The sequence below is a fragment of the Homo sapiens genome, chromosome 17 (genome assembly GCF_000001405.40).
Source record: "Homo sapiens chromosome 17, GRCh38.p14 Primary Assembly".
Classification (NCBI taxonomy): domain Eukaryota; kingdom Metazoa; phylum Chordata; class Mammalia; order Primates; family Hominidae; genus Homo; species Homo sapiens.
The window spans coordinates 2443313-2464944 of NC_000017.11; the positions used below are offsets into that span (position 1 = coordinate 2443313).

The 21632-nt window shown below is 44.1% G+C and overlaps 1 protein-coding gene across 5 annotated transcripts in view; it reads right to left on the reverse strand.

Annotated features, from left to right (window-relative positions):
• The window catches only part of METTL16 (methyltransferase 16, RNA N6-adenosine), a 96174-nt gene that overhangs the window by 27598 nt on the left and 46944 nt on the right, over positions 1–21632 (reverse strand). For all 5 annotated transcript variants that reach the window (XR_007065448.1, XM_047436697.1, NM_024086.4 and 2 more), the window contains one exon: positions 20896–21038. Coding sequence is in view for 4 of the 5 variants with exons in the window: in XM_047436697.1 (XP_047292653.1) it covers positions 20896–21038 (143 nt within the window). In the remaining variant the exon portion in view is untranslated. The remainder of the gene's footprint in view (positions 1–20895; positions 21039–21632) is intronic.

Consider the following 21632-nt stretch of genomic DNA (forward strand, 5'->3'; position numbering starts at 1 on the left):
AAACTGAATTTGTATTAACTTTCCAGACCCAAGTCACTTCACTAGTGAATTCTACTAAACATTTAAGGAAGAAATAATATTAATTATATGCAAACTCTTCCAAAAAATATTAAAGAGGGAACACTTCCCCAACTCATCTTATAAGGCCAGTATTACATCAACAAATCATATCATTTCTTTTTTTTTTTTTTTGAGACACAGTCTCACTCTGTCACCCAGGCTGGAGTGCAGTAGCACGATCTAGGCTCGCTGCAAGCTCCACCTCCTGAGTTCAGGCCATTATCCTGCCTCAGCCTCCCGAGTAGCTGGGACTACAGGCGCCCACCACGACGCCCGGCTATTTTTTTTTTATTATTATTTTTATTTTTAGTAGAAACGGGGTTTCACCATGTTAGCCAGGATGGTCTCGATCTCCTGACCTCGTGATCCGTCCACCTCGGCCTCCCGAAGTGCGGGGATTACAGGGGTGAGCCACCGCACCTGGCCTTATTTCTTATAATGATAAGAAAGGTATAGACCAGGTATCCTTCATGAACATAAGATATAAAAATCCTTAACAAGGGAGGGTAGGCTGGGAAAAGGGAAGATGTTGGTGGGAGGGCACAAAGTTTCAGACAGCAGGAATAAGTTTTAGTTTTTAGCATAGCATGTTGACTATAGTTAATAATGACATATTACATATTTCAAAATTGCTAAAAGATTAGACTTAAAATGTTCTCACCACACAAAAAATTGGGTGAGGCATATGTTAGTTAGTTTGATTGAATCATTTAACAATAAATACATACAGCCATGAGTCACATAAGGACATCTCAGTCAGTAACAGATGGCACTTACAACAGGGGGTCCCATAAGATTAAAATGGAGTTGAGGCCGGGCACGGTGGCTCACACTTTGGGAGGCTAAGGCGGCAGATCACTTGAGGCCAAGAGTTCGAGACTAGCTTGGCCAACATGGTGAAACCCTGCCTCTGCTAAAAATACAAAAATTAGCCAGATGTGGTGGTGGGCATCTATAATCCCAGCTACTCAGGAGGCTGACGCAGGAAAATAGCTTGAACCCCAGAGGTGGAGGTTGCAGTGAGCAGAGATCACACCACTGCACTCCAGCCTGGGCTACAGAGCGAGACTCTGTCTCAAAATAAAATAAAGTAAAATAAAATAAAATAAAATGAAGTTGAAAAATTCCTATTGCCTAGTGATGTCGTAGCTGTTGCAACATCATAGCACAGTTTTAAAAAATAAAGTGTAGCTTAAGTGTACGGTGTTTATAAAGTCTACAATACTATACAGTGATGTTCTAGGCCTTCATATTCGCTCGCCACTCTCTCACTGACTCACACAGAGCAGCTTCTAGTCCTGCAAGCTCCACTCATGGTAAGTGCCCTACACAGATGGACCATTTTTTTTTTTTTTTTTTGAGATGGAGTTTCGCTCTGTCGCCCAGGCTGCAGTGCAGTGGCGTGATCTTGGCTCACTGCAAACTCTGCCTCCCGGGTTCAAGCAATTCCCCTGCCTCAGCCTCCCGAGTAGCTGGGAGTACAGGCACCCCCTCCACCACTCCCAGCTAATTTTTGTATTTTTAGTAGTGACAGGGTTTCACCATGTTGGCCAGGCTGGTCTTGAACTCCTGACCTCAGGTGTTCCACCCACTTAGGCCTCTCAAAGTGCTGGAATTAGAGGTGCATGCCACCATGCTAGGCTAATTTTTTGTATTTTTAGTAGAGACAGGGTTTCACCATGTTAGCCACAATGGTCTCCATCTCCTAACCTCGTGATCCACCCACCTTGGCCTCCCAAAGTGCTGGGATTACAGGTGTAAGCCGCCGTGCTCAGCCCATTTTTATCTTTAATTTTTACTGTCCCTTTTCTATGTTTGATATGTTTACATACACAAAACTTACCACTGTGCTAAAACTGCCCATGGTATTCAATACCATGCTGTACATGCCGTACAGGTTTGTAGCCTAGAAAACACAGGCTATTATTACATTATAGGCCTAGGTGTGTAGTAGGCTATATCATCTATAGCATTCACACAATAACAAAAAAATCACCTAATGATGCATTTCTCAGATTTCCCCCCTCATTAAGCAACACATGACTGTATATTAAAACATCACCTTGTACCCCCCAAAAAATACAACTATTATTTGTCAAGTAAAAATAAAATGCATATAAAGGTCAGGGATTTATATGCGTGGTGGCTCACGCCTGTAATCCCAGCACTTTGGGAGGCTGAGGTGGGTGGATCACTTGAGGTCAGGAGTTTGAGACCAGCCTGGCCAATATGGCAAAACCCCGCCTCTACTGAAAATACAAAAATTAGACAGGTGTGGTGGCACACACCTGTAATCCTAGCTACTCAGGAGGCTGAGACAGGAGAATTGCTTGAACCCGAGAGGCAGAGGTCACAGTGAGCTGAGATGGTGCCACTCCACTCCAGCCTGGGCAACAGAGTAAGACTCTAACTTAAAAAAAAAAAATTAATTAATTTAAAAAATAATAAAATAAAAGGTATATAAAAAAGGCTTTAAAATCCTTAATAAAATACTAGTAAATTTAATCCAGCAATATATAAAAAGAATAATACATTATAACCAAGGGGCATTTACTACAAGAAGGCAAGGCTGGTTTAATATTCAAAAATCAATATCTATAAGTCACTGTATTAATGGACTAAAAAGGACAAACCACATTATCACCTCAATAGACTAGAAAAAGCATTTGGAAAAAGTCAATGCTTTTTCATGACAAAACTCATCATTCATGATTAAAAACTCTAAACAGACTAGAAATAGAAGAAAACTTCCTCAACCTAATAAAGTGAATCTAAGAAACAAACAAAACCCCCAAACCAAAAAACTCTGTAACAGCCAACATCATCATGGTCAAAGTATAATAAAACTGCCTTAAGATTGGGAATGATGCAAGATGGCCACTCTTCACCACTTCTATTCAAAATTGTGCTGGAGATCCTAGTCAGTACAAGTAAGGCAAGAAAAAGAAATAAAATGCATACAAACTGAAATGAAAGAAGTAAAACTGCCTTTACTTCTGCCTTTACATCACAGAAGACATGGTCTTCTACGCAGAAAATTCCATGAAATCTAGGAAAAACCTATTAGAACTAATAAGTGAGTTCAGCAAGGCCACAGAATGAAAGGTCAACACAAAATCAATTGTTGGGGCCAGGTGCAGTGGCTCACACCTGTAATCTCAGCACTTTGGAAGGCCAAGGTGGGTAGATCACAAGGTCAAGAGATCAAGAGCATCCTGGCTCTCCCTCTCCCTCTCCCTCTCCCTCTCCCTCCACGGTCTCCTTCCACGGTCTCCCTCTGATGCCGAGCCAAGGCTGGACGGTGCTGCTGCCATCTCGGCTCACTGCAGCCTCCCTGCCTGATTCTCCTGCCTCAGCCTGCTACGCCTCACTGGTTCTCGTTTTTTTTTTGGTGGAGACGGGGTTTTGCTGTGTTGGCCGGGCTGGTCTCCAGCTCCTAGCCGTGAGTGATCCGCCAGCCTCGGCCTCCCGGGGTGCCGGGATTGCGGATGGAGTCTCGTTCACTCAGTGCTCAGTGGTGCCCAGGCTGGAGTGCAGTGGCGTGATCTCGGCTCGCTACAGCCTCCACCTCCCAGCCGCCTGCCTTGGCCCCCCAAAGTGCCGAGATTGCAGCCTCTGCCCAGCCGCCACCCCGTCTGGGAAGTGAGGAGCGTCTCTGCTTGGCCACCCATCGTCTGGGATATGAGGAGCCTCTCTGCCTGGCTGCCCAGTCTGGAAAGTGAGGAGCGTCTCTGCCCGGCCGCCGTCCCATCTAGGAAGCGAGGAGCGCCTCTTCCCCGCCGCCTTCCCATCTAGGAAGTGAGGAGCGTCTCTGCCCGGCCGCCCATCGTCTGAGATGTGGGGAGCACCTCTGACCCGCCGCCCTGTCTGGGATGTGAGGAGCGCCTCTGCTGGCCGCAACCCTGTCTGGGAGGTGAGGAGCGTCTCTGCCCGGCCGCCCCGTCTGAGAAGTGAGGAAACCCTCTGCCTGGCAACCGCCCCGTCTGAGAAGTGAGGAGCCCCTCCGTCCAGCAGCCACCCCGTCTGGGAAGTGAGGAGCGTCTCCGCCCGGCAGCCACCCCGTCCGGGAGGGAGGTGGGGGGGGTCAGCCCCCCGCCCGGCCAGCCGCCCCGTCCGGGAGGTGAGGGGCTCCTCTGCCCGGCCGCCCCTACTGGGAAGTGAGGAGCCCCTCTGCCTGGCCAGTCGCCCCGTCCAGGAGGGAGGTGGGGGGGGTCAGCCCCCCGCCCGGCCAGCCGCCCAGTCCGGGAGGTGAGGGGCGCCTCTGCCCGGCCGCCCCTACTGGGAAGTGAGGAGCCCCTCTGCCCGGCCAGCCGCCCCGTCCGGGAGGGGGGAGGGGGGGTCAGCCCCCCGCCCGGCCAGCCGCCCAGTCCGGGAGGGAGGTGGGGGGATCAGCCCCCCGCCCGGCCAGCCGCCCCGTCCGGGAGGGAGGTGGGGGGGTCAGCCCCCCGCCTGGCCAGCCGCCCCATCCGGGAGGGAGGTGGGGGGTCAGCCCTCCACCTGGCCAGCCGCCCCGTCCGGGAGGGAGGTGGGGGGGGTCAGCCCCCCGCCCGGCCAGCCGCCCCGTCCGGGAGGGAGGTGGGGGGATCAGCCCCCCGCCTGGCCAGCCGCCCCGTCCGGGAGGTGAGGGGCGCCTCTGCCCGGCCGCCCCTACTGGGAAGTGAGGAGCCCCTCTGCCCGGCCAGCCGCCCCGTCCGGGAGGGAGGCGGGGGGGTGGGGGTCGGCCAGCCGCCCTGTCCGGGAGGGAGGTGGGGGGGTCAGCCCCCCGCCCGGCCGGCCGCCCCGTCCGGGAGGTGAGGGGCGCCTCTGCCCGGCCGCCCCTACTGGGAAGTGAGGAGCCCCTCTGCCCGGCCACGACCCCGTCTGGGAGGTGTGCCCAGCGGCTCATTGGGGATGGGCCATGATGACAATGGCGGTTTTGTGGAATAGAAAGGCGGGAAGGGTGGGGAAAAAATTGAGAAATCAGATGGTTGCCGGGTCTGTGTGGATAGAAGTAGACATGGGAGACTTTTCATTTTGTTCTGTACTAAGAAAAATTCTTCTGCCTTGGGATCCTGTTGATCTGTGACCTTATCCCCAACCCTGTGCTCTCTGAAACATGTGCTGTGTCCACTCAGGGTTAAATGGATTAAGGGCGGTGCAAGATGTGCTTTGTTAAACAGATGCTTGAAGGCAGCATGCTCGTTAAGAGTCATCACCACTCCCTAATCTTAAGTACCCAGGGACACAAACACTGCGGAAGGCCGCAGGGTCCTCTGCCTAGGAAAACCAGAGACCTTTGTTCACTTGTTTATCTGCTGACCTTCCCTCCACTATTGTCCTATGACCCTGCCAAATCCCCCTCTGCGAGAAACACCCAAGAATGATCAATAAAAAAAAAAATAAAATAAAAAAAATAAAAAATAAAAAAATAAAAAAATAAAAATAAAATTTAAAAAAAAAAAAAAAAAAAAAAAAGAGCATCCTGGCCAACATGGTGAAACCCCATCTCTACTAAAAATACAAAAATTAGCTGGGTGTGGTGGTGCGCGCCTGTAGTCCCAGCTACTTGGGAGGCTGAGGCATGAGAATCGCTTGAACCTGGGAGACAGAGGTTGCAGTGAGCCGAGATTGCGCCACTGCACTCCAGCCTAGTGACAGAGCAAGACTCCGTCTCAAAAAAAAAAAAAAGTAAAATACTAATAAAATAAATCAACTGTATTTTCTTATAGTAGCAATACCTAACTAGAAATTAAAATTTTAAAATGCCATTTACGGTAGCATGAAAATACATAAAATACTTAGGAATAAAGTTCGTATAATGTGTGTAAAGGTGAAAGATATTGAAGACCTAAATAAATGAACAGCTAAACCAGGTTGGAATGGAAGACTCATTATTGTTAAGGTATCAATTCTTTCCAACTTGACCTATAAATTCAACACAATCCCAACCATACATTTTCATGAAAATTGATAAACTGATGCTAAAATTTATATGGAAATGCAAAAGATTTCAAGTAGCTAAAACAAATTTTTTTCCATAAAGACAGGGTATGCCTATGTTGCACAGGCTGGTCTCAAACTCCTGGATGCAAGCAATCCTCCTGCCTCAGCCTCCCAACGTGCTGGGATTACAGGCGTGAGCCACCATGTCTGGCTTAAAACAATTTTGAAAACAAAAAACAAACAAAAAAAAACAAAGATAGAGGATTTATACTGCCAGATTTCAAGACTTCTACAAAGCTATGATAATTCAGACCATATGGTACTGGCATAAGATAGACACAGATTAACAGAATGGAACAGAGTCCAGAAATAACTCACTTACACGGTCAGCTGATTTTAAACAAAGGCCACTAAAGGTTTGGTCTTTTTAAAAGAGATTTATAGAAATGGAAAGGCAACTATAGACTGGGAGGAAATACTTGCAAAACACATTTGACAATGGACTGTATTCAGAATCTATAAAGAACTGCCAATCAGTAAGATTAATAAACCAATAAAAAGGAGATACAGGAATGGCCAATAAGCACATGCGGATACTCCCTATCACCAGCCACCAGAGAAATGCAAATTCCAATCATAATGAGATACCACTACCTACCCGTTAGAACAGATACATTTTTAAAAGGTGACAACAGTACCAAATGGTGTCAACGGAAACTCTCAGATATTGCTGGTGGGAATGTAAAATGCTGTATAGTCACTTTGAAAAGCAGCTTCTTAATAAAGTTAAACATACACTTACAACAGGACCAGGAGTCCTACTCTCAGGTATTTACTTAAGATGGAGGAAAATTTAATTAGACACAAAAAATTATAAGCAAATGTTCAGTTTTATTCCTACTAGCCAAAACCTGGAAATGACCCAAATGTCCTTCAACTGGCAAATGGATGAACGAACTGTGGTATACTCAGCCTATTTAGCAACAAAAGGGACAGGCCACTGACACAAAAAATCATGGATATGCTGCTACGTGAAAGAAAGCAGACAATCAAAACCTACATTTTCTATGACTCCATTTGTATGAAAAGTCTAGAACACACAAAACTGTTGTGACAGAAAGTACATCAGGGCTACAGGAAGCTGGGAGCAGAGTGTGGACAGACTGCAGAGGGGAACAGGAAACTTTTCAGGGTGATGGAAATGTTCCACATTTGTCTAAACTCATCCAACTGCACACTTAAATGGGAGTTACTCAAGTTTACCTCAGGACGACTGACTGAAATATATAAATTTATAAATGGGATTATCTTATACCTTCAAATACACATAAAATAAGGTTAACCATATCGTAACGTTTTACATGTTTCCTTCTTGTTTTGTAACAGCTTAGCCAAACTAACAATACATATTCTGTCTCCTGCTTTTCTCACTAAGCATTATAATCAACCTGTGTCATTCAAAATTCACCTAATCGCATTAAAAGGGAAATTTCAGATTAAGGGATATACATTCAATATTTAATTGTTTATATACAAAATGCCTACTACAAGATGAATTTTCAAGAATTTAATTTCAAGAATTTAAATTTCAAGAAATTTCAAGAATTTAAATTCTAAGAGAATTTAAGAGCCTCTAAAATCACCAATTAGGTTAAAACTGTATGAAACTGACATTTTTATACATCAAAAACTGTTTTATAGGTCAAAAACTATTGAAGACTGGCAATCTGGTATTTCGACCTCATACATTAAATAACATAAATGAAAAATCTAATTATTTTAAAAGTATGAAAAATACTATTATATTACTTTAGAAACAGTGGGCATCAACAAATATTTTGTCTTCACTGTGAATTCAACAAGAGGTGACCACATCTATTTTTGTTTAGGCAATCCTTTTTCCCTTTGAAAATAAAGAAATAATTGTTATAGCTAAAACACTTTAAACAAACCCCGGTAAAGTTATTTAAAGGATAATAAATTTCATTTGGTGGTTTAAAAATGTTTAGAAGAAAAATAATATGTTCCCTTTAAGAAAGTATCATCGGGCACAGCGGCTCACGCCTGTAATCCCAGCACTTTCGGAGGGCGAGGTAGGAGGATCACTTGGGGTCAGGAGTTCGGGACCAGCCTGGCCAACATGGGAAACCCTGTCTCTATTAAAAAATACAAAAAAATTTAGCTGGTGTGGTGGTGCGCACCTGTAGTTCCAGGTACGCAGGAGGCTGAAGCAGGAGAATCGCTTGAACCCAGGAGGCGGAGGTTGCAGTGAGCTGAGATGGTGGCACTGCACTCCAGCCTGGGTGACAGAGGTAGACTCTGTTTCCAAAAAAAAAAAAAGAAAAGAAAAGAAAGAAAGTGTATAAATGGATTCATTAACCAGGAATTTAAAGCCTTGGGTATATTATGAACAAGAGGAAGGAAGAGAAATCGGGAGCAATTAGTGCTGACACAGTAACAGCATAAAACAGGTTAACAGTTTCCTTTAAAACTAGCATTCCTCAACAGATTAGATAGATCAGAGCTATCAGAAGCCAAGAAGCGGCACAGAACAACAAAAAAAGATACTGGCTTGGCGTGGTGGCTCACATCTGTAACCCCAGCACTTTGGGAGGCCGAGGCAGGTGGATCACTTGAGCCCAGGAGTTTGAGACCATCCTGGGCAACATGGCAAGACCCCATCTCTACAAAAAATAGCTGGGCATGGTGATGCATGCCTGTGGTCCCAGCTACTAGGGGGGCTGAGGTGATAGGATCGCTTGAGCCTGGGAGGTCAGGGCTGCAGTGAGCAGTGATTGCACCACTGCACCCCAGCCTGGATGACAGAGCAAGCCCTTGTCTCAAAAAAAAAAAAAAAAAAAAGATACTGTAAGGTTCTTCAGGAGATGAAGGAAAAGAAATATTTAGAAGACAAGAAAAGCTAGTAATAGTTAAACATGCCATTGATACTTAATAGACACTCGGGAGGGAGTTCATATTTCTTTTAACCTTTGCACTAAACTGAATACCACACTGCGAATCATTTCAGATTGAATGTCATATATACGCTGTTTTCAGCAACAGTTGTATTTGTTATGGAAAAAGCAGAAGTCATTGGATGTGTTAAAAATCCTATTTTAGCTGCACATTTTAAATATGCCTACCCACTAGATCCTAGCTACTCTCAACGGGCATCTTGTGACAACTAATCAAAATGCAAGTGGAAAAAAAAATGAAGAAAAGGAAGATCTAGTCACCCAAGAGACTTTGAATCCATTAAACTATTTTAATGATGAAAGTAGCACTCTACTTATTACAACATTTAGGAATTCCTCTGAGATGGTAGGTTTCAAGAAAAATTATTTTGAAATAATTTCAAACTTTCAGAAGAGTTGCAGGATTCGCGCAAATGACTCCAGTATACCCTTCACCCAGATTCACCAATTACATCTTCCTTCATTCTGTGTGTATGTGTTTTTTCCTAAGCTGTTTGAGAATCAGTTACAGACATCAACATGTCTCATTAACTGTAATATTTTGGCATGTCCATTTTAAAAGCGTGTATTGTTTTTTGTTTTTGTTTTTGTTTTTTTTAGACTTTTTTTCAGACAGAGGCTCACTCTGTCTCCCAGGCTGGAGTGCAGTGGTGCAATCTCAGCTCACTGCACCTCCACCTCCCAGGCTCAGGCGATTCTCCTGACTCAGCCTCCAGAGTAGCTGGGATTACAGGCATGTGCCACCACAACAGGCTAATTTTTGTATTTTCCCTAGAGACAGGGTTTCACTGTGTTGGTCAGGCTGGTCTTGAACTCCTGACCTCAGGTGATCCACCTGCCTTGGCCTCCCAAAGTGCTGGGATTACAGGTGTGAGCCGCTGCGCCCCCACGGAAACAAGTGTATTCATTTTTGTAACCACAGAGGAATTATCAAATTGCTAAAACTTAACACTCATTCAATACTATTATCTGGAATACAGTCCACACTTAAATTTCACCTGTTTATCCCAATATTCTCCCCGATACAAGGCCCCTTAGGATTGCGAATTTCATGTACTTGTCATGTCTCTTTAGCCTCCTTCAATCTGGAATAGTTCCTCAGTCTTCTTTTACTCTCATGACCTTAATGTTTTTGAGGAGCTGATTTTACACAGTCCCTCAACTGGGTGTGTCTGAAGTTTCCACGTCATTGGATTCAGATGACACATTTCTGGCGTGAAGAGCACGGAGGCGCTGCTTGTCCTTCCAGGTGCGTCACATCAGGAGATGAGCACCTGGTCAGGGAGGTGGCCTGTGCTTTCTCCAAAGCAAACTCTTTACTTTGTAAACTCCCACACTTCTCTCTGTAACTGTAAGTAACCTAAAGGGGGAAGGGGTGGTTCTTTGAAACTAGGTAGTTATCCTGTTCCTTTTCAAATTTCCCTTTGCCAATTGTTCCACGAATCAATTATTACTATGATTGTTGCAAAATTTAAGAGCCTCTAAAATCACCAATTAGGTTAAAACTGTATGAAACTGACATTTTTATACATCAAAAACTATTTGATAGGTCAGAAACTATTGAAGACTGGCAATCTGGTATTTCAACCTCATACACTAAATAACATACATGAAAAATCTAACTTTAAAAGTATGAAAAATGCTATTACATTATTTTAGAAATAAGTAATATAATAGTTTATTATTCTTTCTATATTTATTCATCGGCATCCACTCTATCCCCTGTATGTACTGTATCTTATTCAATGGGTTATAAGTCATTATTGTCATTATTCATCTTGAAACTCATGTTGTCCCAGCTTTGCCCTGAGCTCACTCTAGGTTCTTCTGACATGTCATTTTTTGAGTATGTCATTACTTTCTGGTACTAGAAGATATTCCAGGCTCATTGTGTATTCACCCCAACTCAGAAGTGGAATTTACCGTTTCTCCAAAAAACTTTTTTTCCCCTCACTGGGGAACGGTTATTTAGAAACTTATTAAAAACTCAAGTGAAGTATAATATAGAAAAACAGGAAAGCAGAGGTTTGGGGTATAAGCAATTATGAACCTTACCTAAAAAGTTCTCTAAGTAGTAAAATCCAACACCTTGCTGCCTATAATAAATTACCAGAACAAATGCCCCTAGATATTCAACGGAGCAGCCCCAATGTCCACCTGATCTCAAAATTTACTATTTAAACTATCATAAATTTCGAATCTATATAACTAAAAATAAACTTTTATCCTATGCTCTTATAAGTGATTTTAATTATTCACTTTTTGACATGGATAAGACTATATTATTATTATTATTTTTTTTTTTTTTTTTTTGAGACGGAGTCTTGCTCAGCCGCCCAGGGTGGAGTGCAGTGGCATGATCTCAGCTCACTGCAACCACTGTCTCCTGGGTTCAAGCAATTTTCCCATCTCAGCCTCCCAAGTAGCTGGGATTACAGGCACCCGCCATCATGCCCAGCTAATTTTTGTATTTTAGTAGAGACAGGGTTTCATCATGTTGGCCAGGCTGATCTTGAACTCCCGACCTCTGGTGATCTGCCCACCTTGGCCTCCCAAAGTGCTAGGATTACAGGAGTGAGCCCCCACGCCCAGCCAAAAGACTACATTATAACAAGCAAGTGGAACCAAGGCTTTTAATTTGTTATCCTATTTATTTATTTATTATTTTTGAGATGGAGTCTCGCTCTGTTGCTCAGGCTGGAGTGCAGTGGCGCAATCTTGGTTCACTGCAACCTCTGCCTCCCAGTTTCAAGCGATTCTCCTGCCTCAGCCTCCCAAGCAGCTGGGATTACAGGCACGTGCCACTATGCCCAGGTACTTTTTTTTTTTTTTTTTTTGAGACGGAGTCTCACTCTGTTGCCCAGGCTGGAGTGCAATGGCGTTATCTTGGCTCACTGCAACCTCCGCCTCCCAGGTTCAAGCGATTCTCCTGCCTCAGCCTCCCAAATAGCTGGGACTATAGGCATGCACCACCACGTCTGGCTACTTTTTGTATTTTTATAAAGACGAGGTTTCAACATGTTGGCCAGACTGGTCTCAACTCCTGACCTCAGGTGATCCGCCCACCTCAGCCTCCCAAAGTGCCAGGATTACAGGCGTGAGCCACCGTGCCCAGCCTGTTATTCCTTTGTAGACTGTTAGATGAACTCAAAATACATGCTTGTTGATTTTAAGAATTCTCTTCTTTCACCAGCTAACGCAGAACCAAGCAGTGACTATGTCACGTAGTCGGAAATGCCATGTAAGCTGACACAGCTAGCTCACCGTGGCGCAAGCTGCTGGATCCAATCTTTTCTCCCTGAGACCTCAGAGCAGACACCAATCAACAAGGCTGCCATATCAATCCTGAAAGGGATTAAACTAAGCATCATACCTGAGTTAAAATGATGAAATGCATATAACCTAATTCATCAAAGAAAATAAGGTAAGGCCAGGTGCAATGGTTCACGCCTGTAACCCCAGAACTCTAGGAAGCCAAGGTGGGGTGGAATGACTTGAGCCCAGGACTTTGAGGCCACCCTGGGCAACATGGCAAAACCCCATCTCTACAAAAAAATGCAAAAATTGGCCAGGCATGGTGTTGTGCACGTATAGTCCTAGCTACTCAGGAGGCTGAGGCAGGAGGATTGCTTGAGCTCAGAAGGTGAAGGCTGCAGTGAGCCGTGATCATGCCACTGCACTCTAGTCTGGGTGACAGAGCAAGACCCTGTCTCGAAAATTAATTAATTAATTAATTAATTAAAATAAAATAAGGTAGTCCCTTATCTTTCAGGCTGCTTATCCTTCTTTTTCCTACCTTAGTATGAAGGAAAAATCAAAATAGCAGCATCTACCCCCTGTGGAGCTCACAACTGGGAAATGTTCCTTCATGTTTTAATTGCAAAAACGCTGCACTACCTGGAGAACAAGCTGGTACACCATCTGTCCCCAGTACTTCTCTATCTCTGGTATCTGTGTAGGAAGCTGAGGGGCACAATTCTTTGTAATGATACCCTAAAACACCTTTACTGACTGACAACCCTACTTTGGGTCCCAGTCAAAGATGAAAGCAGGGGTCAAACGTAGCCATTCATAACAGCCTCAACAGATGGCAGTTCAGTAAGAAACAAGAAGTGGTATGTTCTTTTTAACAGTGAAAACAAGAAAACCTCTGAATGCCCAATAACAAAGAATTAGTTAATTATGGACTGTTGTTAAGCTCACTAGCTACTGACTGATTGACTGAGACAGGGTCTCGTTCTGTTGCCCCGGTTGGAGTGCAATGGTGTGATCATGGCTCACTGCAGCCTTGACCTCCTGGACTTAAGTGATCCTCAGGCCTCAGCCTCACAAGTAGCTGGGACTATAGGAACATGCCACCACACACCAGGCTGATTTTTTGTAGACACAGAGTCTTGCTATGTTGCCCAGGCTGGTCTTGAACTCCTGGCCTGAAGCCATCCTCCAGCCTCAGGTTTGCAAAGTGCTGAGATTACAGGCATGAGTTACCACACCCGGACTGTCAAGCTACTTATTTTGTATTTATTTATTTATTTTTAAGACATAGTTTCACTCTGTTGCCCAGGCTGGAGTACACTGTCTCAATCTCAGCTCACTGCAACCTTCTGTCTCCCAGGTAAGTGATTCTCCTGCCTCAGCCTGCCATGTAGCTGGGATTACAGGCGCATGCACCCGGCCTTTTTTTTTTTTTTAAATGCCAAAGCAGCTTTCTCCATTTTCTAATTTCCTGTAAGTGTGGTTATATTGTTTAAGAGATAACAAAATTATAAAAATAATAATGTCAGCTGGGCGTGGTGGCTCACGCCTGTAATCCCAGCACTTTGGGAGGCCAAGGCGGGTGGATCACGAGGTCATGAGATCGAGATCATCCCGGCTAACACAGTGAAACCCCGTCTCTACTAAAAATACAAAAAAAAAAATTAGCTGGGCGTGGTGACGGGCGCCTGTAGTCCAAGCTACTAGGGAGGCTGAGGCAGGAGAATGGCGTGAACCTGGGAGGCGGAGGTTGCAGTGAGCCGAGATCGCGCCACTGCACTCCAACATGGACGACAGAGCGAGACTCCGTCTCAAAAAAAAAAAAAAAAAAAAAAAAAGTCATTATCTAACATTTATACTACATGCTGCAACCTCCTAGAATAGTCAAGAGTTAAAAATCGGCCGGGCACAGTGGCTCACGCCTGTAATCCCAGCACTTTAGGAGGCCGAGGCAGGCGGATAACCTGAGGTCAGGAGTTTTGAGACCAGCCTGGCCAACACGCTGAAACCCCATTTCTACTAAAAATACAAAAATTAGCCAGGCATGGTGGCGCGTGCCTTTAATCCCAGCTACTTGGGAGACTGAGGCAGGAGAATTGCTTAAACCTAGGAGACGGCGGAGGTTGCGGTGAGCTAAAATCACGCCACTGCACTCCAGCCTGGATGACAGAGCGAGACTCTGTCTCAAAAAAAAAAAAAAGAGTTAAAAATCACCCTATTTAATATCCACTATTATTATTATGTCAAATATGTATTCATTTAATTCTATAACCACTTTATGAGATAGCTACTATCATTCCATTTTACCAATGATAAATCAAAATTTCAAACCAAAGAATCACATTCAAAAGGCCCAGATTATTACCAATTTTTGAGACGGGCTCTTGCTCTGTCACCCAGGCTGGAGTGCAGCGGCATAAACACAGCTCATGGCAGCCTCAACCTCCCAGGCTCAAGCAATTCTTCCACCTTGGCCTACTGGGTAGCTGGGACCACAGGCACGTGCAACCATACCCAGCTAATTTTTAAATTTTTTGTAGAGATGGGGTCTTGCTATGTTGCCCAGGCTGGTCTCAATCTCCTGAGCTCAACTGATCGTCCTACCTCAGCCTCCCAAAGTGCTAGGATTATAGGTATGGGCCACTGTGCCTGGCCTAGGCCCAGATTATTAAATTTATTACCCATCCCAAAATAGGTGGATTATATCCAAATCCAAGCAGTATCCATCATCTGGCAGGGGACACGCTGGTGCTTTGTAGAATACAGATCTCTGGTTCCTAAGAAAAGCCTAAAATCATTGCCATAAAGGGCATCAGTTATAGAACTGGTAACCAATGACAAGAGAGAATCCAAAACATACAAAATTATGGTGTGGAGAATAAATTAAAAAAAAAAAAAATTCAGGGCCAGGGTGTGGTGACTCACACCTGTAATCCCAGCACTTTGTGAGGCCAAGGGGGGCAGATCATTTGAGCTCAAGAGTTCCAGACCAGCCTGGGCAACATGGTGAAACCCTGACTCTAATAAAAATACAAAAATCAGCTGAGTGTGGGGGTACACATTTGAAATCCCAGCAACTAGGGAGGCTGACGTGGGAGAATCACTTGAACTTGGGAGGCAGAGGTTGCAGTGAGACAAGATCACTCCACCTCACTGCAGCCTGGGTGACAGAGCAAGACTCTGACACACACACACATACACACACACTCACACACAATTCAGGCCATGAGGAGTTTGATAAAGTCTGGTAATTTATCTAGAAGGTTAGATGGGTGAGTCCCTTTTTTTTTTTTCTTTTTTGAGATAGGGTCTCACTCTGTCACTCAAGCTGGAGTGCAGTGGTACAATCTCGGCTTACTGTAGCCTCGACCTCCTGGGCTCAAGCGATCCTCCTACCTCAGCCTCCCGAGTAGCTGGGACTAAAGGCATGTGCCACCACATCCAGCTAATTTTTGTATTATTTGTAGGGAAGGGGTGTCGCCATGTGGCCCAGGCTGGTCTTGAACTCCTGGGCTCAAGTGATCCACCAACTCAGCCTCCCAAAGTGTTGGGATTACAGGTGTGAGCCATTGTGCCCGGACTGGGTGAGTCACTTGAGAAAAAAAAGCTATTAAGTAAGCTCAAGCCACAGGCACAAAAAGCCAAAGTAAGGGTGACAAGCACTTGTAAATCCTCATCAACGACAGAAAGGCTCTTCACAGAGTCCAACTGCAGCTTAGAGCTGCAGAGGCTGCAAGGGGTGGTGGAAAGACCACTGGACTAGAATGAGGATATCTGAGTTCTAATTTCCAGTCTGTAAACCAAGAGGTTGGATAACTTTACCTCTCAAGGTCTTTCCAGCTGCAAAATTCCTTAAGATACAAAACAAAACTGTTAACTGCTGCTGAGCATGACAGAGGTGAGACATGAACCTCCCAGGGGAGGCGAGGCATCACAAGCGCCATCCTGAGGTCAGTCCAACACATTTAACTTATTTCACCCCATAATGCTGCAAATTCTGCTTAGTTCCTGTATTTCTTCAGGGACAAGGAGAAAAACATTCTACAGGGATAAGAAACAGATGGTAGGGTTAAGGCACTTGTTTATAATCTCTTATTTTTTAGAGCTTCAAAATACACAATTTTCAGAGCATTCTGAAATGTGAGTCACACGGTTGTATAAACATTATGATGTCAACTATAAAAATATGCATGGGGGCCGGGCGCAGTGGCTCATGCCTTTCATCCCAGCACTTTGGGAGGCCGAGGCAGGCGGATCACCTGAGGTCAGGAGTTCGAGACCAGCCTGACCAACATGGAGAAATCCTGTCTCTACTAAAAATACAAAATTAGCCAGGCATGGTGGCACATGCCTGTAATCCCAGCTACTCTCGAGGCGGAGGCAGGATAATCGCTTGAATCCAGGAAGCGGGGGTTGCAGTGAGCTGAGATCACACCATTGCACTCCAGCCTGGGCAACAAGAGCAAAAACTCCATCTCAGAAAACGTATGTGTATATATGTGTATATATACATGCATGGGGACACGAACTGGTAGTTGTACAAATGTAAGTCATCATGGTAGGATGTGAGTGAAAACAATACTTGCAAGCAACACCCTTTCACAAAACACTGTTCTAGTTTCTTCTCAGTAAAAATCACTTCATTTCTTCCTTTCTTTCATCTAAACTCTCAAACTGCTTGAGTCCTCACAGAGAAGAAAGTTGCACCCTGTTTTAAATAAATCCTAAAGGGCAGTGTTTCCCATATATGAGACCAAGCACAAAATGGCCAGCTCTCCAGAGCTGGGATGGGCTCTTGCATTTTATCCTTCCTAGCAAATTTACACCCTTCATTCAATTTGCAGGCTGCCACAGAGCCAAGTATAAGCAGACTAGGAACATACTGAGTCCATTTCTACCCCTTAGAATGGTGTTCTATTCAAACATATTTTTGTAGTTCAAATGGTACTTTGGAAATAACAGAAATTTACTGTTTAAAAGCCTCCTAAAAACAACCCCATTATTATTGTAGCCTAGTAGAGCCACCTACAGTTCCCCATTTTCCTGGCTGGCTCTAGTTCCCTCAAAAGCCATAATGAGGGTTGGGCGCGGTGGCTCACGCCTGTAATCCCAGCACTTTGGGAGGCCAAGGCGGGTGGATCACCTGAGGTCGGGAGTTCAAGACCAGCCTGACCAACACGGAGAAACCCCATCTCTACTAAAAATACAAAATTAGCTTGGTGTGGTGGCACATGCCTGTAATCCCAGCTACTCGGGAGGCTGAGGCAGGAGAATCACTTGAACCTGGGAGGCAGAGGTTGCAGTGAGCCAAGATCACGCCATTGCACTCCAGCCTAGGCAGTAAGAGGGAAACTCAGTCTCAAAAAAAAAAAAAAAAAAAGTCATCATGAAATGGTCACATGACTTGGTTAACTCTTTTCTGTGAATTTCAGTGCTGTTACCTTCTTTAAGTTTATTTTACTTTCTCAGACTTTTCTCAATGCTCAGTATAATTTTAGTCTATTTCTTCTTCAAGATAGTCTAATGTGTCTAAATAAGTCAATCTAGACTGGGTGCGGTGGCTCGCACCTGTAATCCTAACACGTTGGGAGGCTGAGACAGGAGAATCACCTGAGGTCAAGACTTCGAGACCAGCCTGGCCAACATGGTGAAACCCCAACACTACTAAAAAAAATACAAAAACTTAGCCAGGCGTGGTGGCGCGTGCCTGTAGTCCCAACTACTCAGGAAGTTGAGGCATGAGAATTGTTTGAAACTGGGAAGCAGACAGAGGCTGCAGTGAGCCAACATCACCCTAGTGCATGCACTCCAGCCTGGGTGACAGAGTGAGACTCTGTCTCAAAAAAACAAAAAACAAACAAACAAACAAAAACAGGATATTTGATGATTTTGGAATTGGTCTTTAATAAAATAAGCAGCTTTCCACCTTTGGGAGATAGGAAAGATTTATAGAATAAGAATATACAAAGATTGAAAAGGTAGTAGTAGCTCCTGTAGCCTGCAAAGACCCTGTTTCTGAGGATGTTTTCATTTCTGAGGATGTTCTCCTGTCTTTTTTTTTTTTTTTTTTCAGATGGAGTCTCACTCTGTCACCCAGGCTGGAGTGCAGTGGCACAATCTTGGTTCACTGCAACCTCTGCCTCCCAGGTTCAAGCAGTTCTCCTGCCTCAGCCTCCCGAGTAGCTGGGATTACAGGCGCCTGCCACCACACCCAGCTAATTTTTTGTATTTTTTACTAGAGACGGGGTTTCACCATGTTGGTGAGGCTGGTCTCCAACTCCTGACCTCAGGTGATCCACCCGCTTTGGTCTCCCAGAGTGCTGGGATTACAGGTGTGAGCCACCGTGCCCAGCCTTCTCATGTCTTTAAGTGATTTTGTTTCCTATAATCATCTATACTACATAGACAGAAAAGAGGACAATACCGTATAGGAAAAAAATCTTCCCTATCCAGGAATTCCACTTCTAGGTCTACATCCAAAGAAATGAAAGCAGGGTCTCCAGGAGATATTTATATACCCACATTCACACAGCATTATTCACAATAGCCAAAGGGTACAAGCAACCTAAGTATCTTCCATCAATAGATGAACGGATAAACGAAATGTGGCATATCAGCCTTAAAAAGGAAGAAAATTCTGAAATATGCTGCATCATGGAAGAACCTTGAAAACATGACGAAAAGTGAAAAAAGCCAGTCATAAAAGGACAAATACTGTATGATTCCATTTGTATGAAGTGCCTAGAGTAGTCAAGTTCATAGAGACAGACAGCAGAATGATGGTTGCCAGGGGCTCAGGAAGGAGAGAATAGGAGGGATTTAACGAGTACAGAGTTACAGTTACAAAACATGAAGAGTTCTGGAGACTGCTTGTGCAACAGTGAGAATGTACTTCACATTACTAAACTATACTCTAAAATTTTAGATGGCGATACGGTTTGGATTTGTGTCCCCGCCCAAATCTCATGTCAAACTGTAATCTCTAGTGTTGGCGACGGGGCCTGCTGGGAGGTGACTGGATCCTGAGGGCAGATTTCCCCTTGCTGTTCTGGTGACAGTGAGTGAGATCTCACTAGATCTGGTTGTTTAAGTGTGTAGCACCTCCTCCTTCCCTCTCTTCCTCCTCCTCTGGCCACGTAATGATGTGCCTGCTTCCCCTTCACCTTCCGCCATGATTGTACGTTTCCTGAGACTTCCCCAGCCGTGCTTCCGGTACAGCCTGTGGAACTGTGAACTAATTAAGCCTCTTTTCTTTACAAATTACTCAGTCTCAGGTATTTCTTTATAGCAGTGTGAGAATGGACTAATACAGATGGTAAATTTTATGTTACGTGTATTTACCACAATAATAATAATAAATAAAACCTTCCCTATGTCCCAAAGCTAAATCCTTGGATTGAAAGCTCTTTTAGTTTTTGAACTACCATATTATCCATCATTTCAACAACATGTGGCAGGGTGAGAAGTCAAGCGAGACAAATAGCTCTTTTTGAGTACCTTATGTTGCTTAATGACAGGTGTGTTGTCCAAAATAATTAGCTTTCAAAAGGAATGGCCTTAACCCTCCTCTGCAACTGGTTAGTGATCTCAGTTTCCCTTCATTAAGTTCTTGACAGCTCAATGTCCTCACATCTGTCACTGGGAGACTGATTCCAAGAACCTAAACTGCTGAAAGGACGAGGCAACAAATTTATTCTGGTTCATGGGACAGAACTGAACCCATCTGTTTTCTAATCAAAAGCCATATTTGAATCCGTTTTGTTCTATCACAGGACCATCCTAATGGGAGCAATACAATCATGCGGTATTTTCCTCTTTCCTGTCTATGTAATATACATGATTACAGTAAACACTAATCAATTAAAGGCATGGAACATCCTCAGAAACACAGTCTTCGCAGATTGTAGGAGCCACTACCTTTGCAATCTTTATTTTTATTTTCATTTTTATTTTTGGAGAAGGAATCTTACTCTCTCACCCAGGCTGGAGCGCAGTGGCATGATCTCGGCTCACTGCAACCTCTGCCTCCTGGGTTCAAGCGATTCTCCTGCGTCAGCCTCCCTAGTAGCTGGGACTACAGGCACCCACCACCACACCCAGCTCATTTTTATATTTTTAGTAGAGACAGGGTTTCACTATATTGGCCAGGCTGGTCTTGAACTCCTAACCTTCTGATCTGCCCACCTCGGCCTCCCAAAGTGCTGGGATTACAGGTGTGAGCCACCACGCCCAGCCTGCAATCTTTATCTGCTTGTTCTTCTGAGCACTAGGATTACTTTTGCTCTGAGTGACATAGTTTGTTTTAGAACTACACAGGGGAGGCCGGGCACAGAGCCTCATGCCTATAATTCCAGCACTTTGGGAGGTCGAGGCAGGCAGATCACCTGAGGCTAGGAGTTCCAGACCAGCCTGGCCAAAATGGTGAAACCCCCTTGTCTCTACTAGAAATACAAAAATTACAGGTGGCAGGTGCCTGTAATCCCAGCTACTTGGGAGGCTGAGGCACAAGAAAAGCTTGAACCCAGGAGGCAGAGGTTGCAGTGAGCTGAGATCACGCCACTGCACTCCAGCCTGGCAACAAGAGCAAGACTCTGTCCCCCGCCACCAAAAAAAAGAGAACTACATAGCGGGTAAATATTCCTGTGTTGTAAAGATGGACTCTATGTTGTAAAAACAGACTTACCTTAATCTTTTTTTAAGTTGTAGACTGTCATGGATGATCCTTTTAACAAACTCTAATTCACCTCCTTCTGCCATGATCTCTGTGATGCCTCCTGTATTAACAGAACTAGGCGGAGGTCTTCGAGGATTTCGTGAGTTTACTCCCTGAAAAACAACAAAAAACCCTGGTGAAAAATGTGTACACCCCAAGAACCAAGTTTGAATGTAATCTATCTCTAAGTTAGAATGTTTAGTTGCAATTTTTACTTTCCAAATAGTATGCTAGATTTAGGATTTTAAAATCATAGCCACTAAAATATTTTATTTCAAACAGCTACTTCATGCAACTATTTCTTCCCAGGTCTTTTACTTTCCATTTTTGTGGTTAAACATGAAAATTGTTTACCTTTTTATAAAGCCCAATCTGTCACTTTTTCTTTATGCTTTCTTTCTCCTGTACAGAAGATCCACCCAAAGATTAAACAAATATTTACTTGTTTTTTCCTAGCATTTTCACGGTTTTGCTTTTCACATTTAAATATTTAATCCACCCTTACCTCATACCATATGAAAAGTTAACTCAAAATTCATCAAAGAACTAAAAGGAAAAGCTAAAACTATAAATTTTCATGAGCTTGGATTAATTTTCATTAAGAAAATTAATTTTCATGAGCTTGGATTAGGCAACGGTTTCTGAGACATGACAACAAAAGCATAAGCAACAAAAGAAAACAGATAAATTGGACTTCATCCGAATTA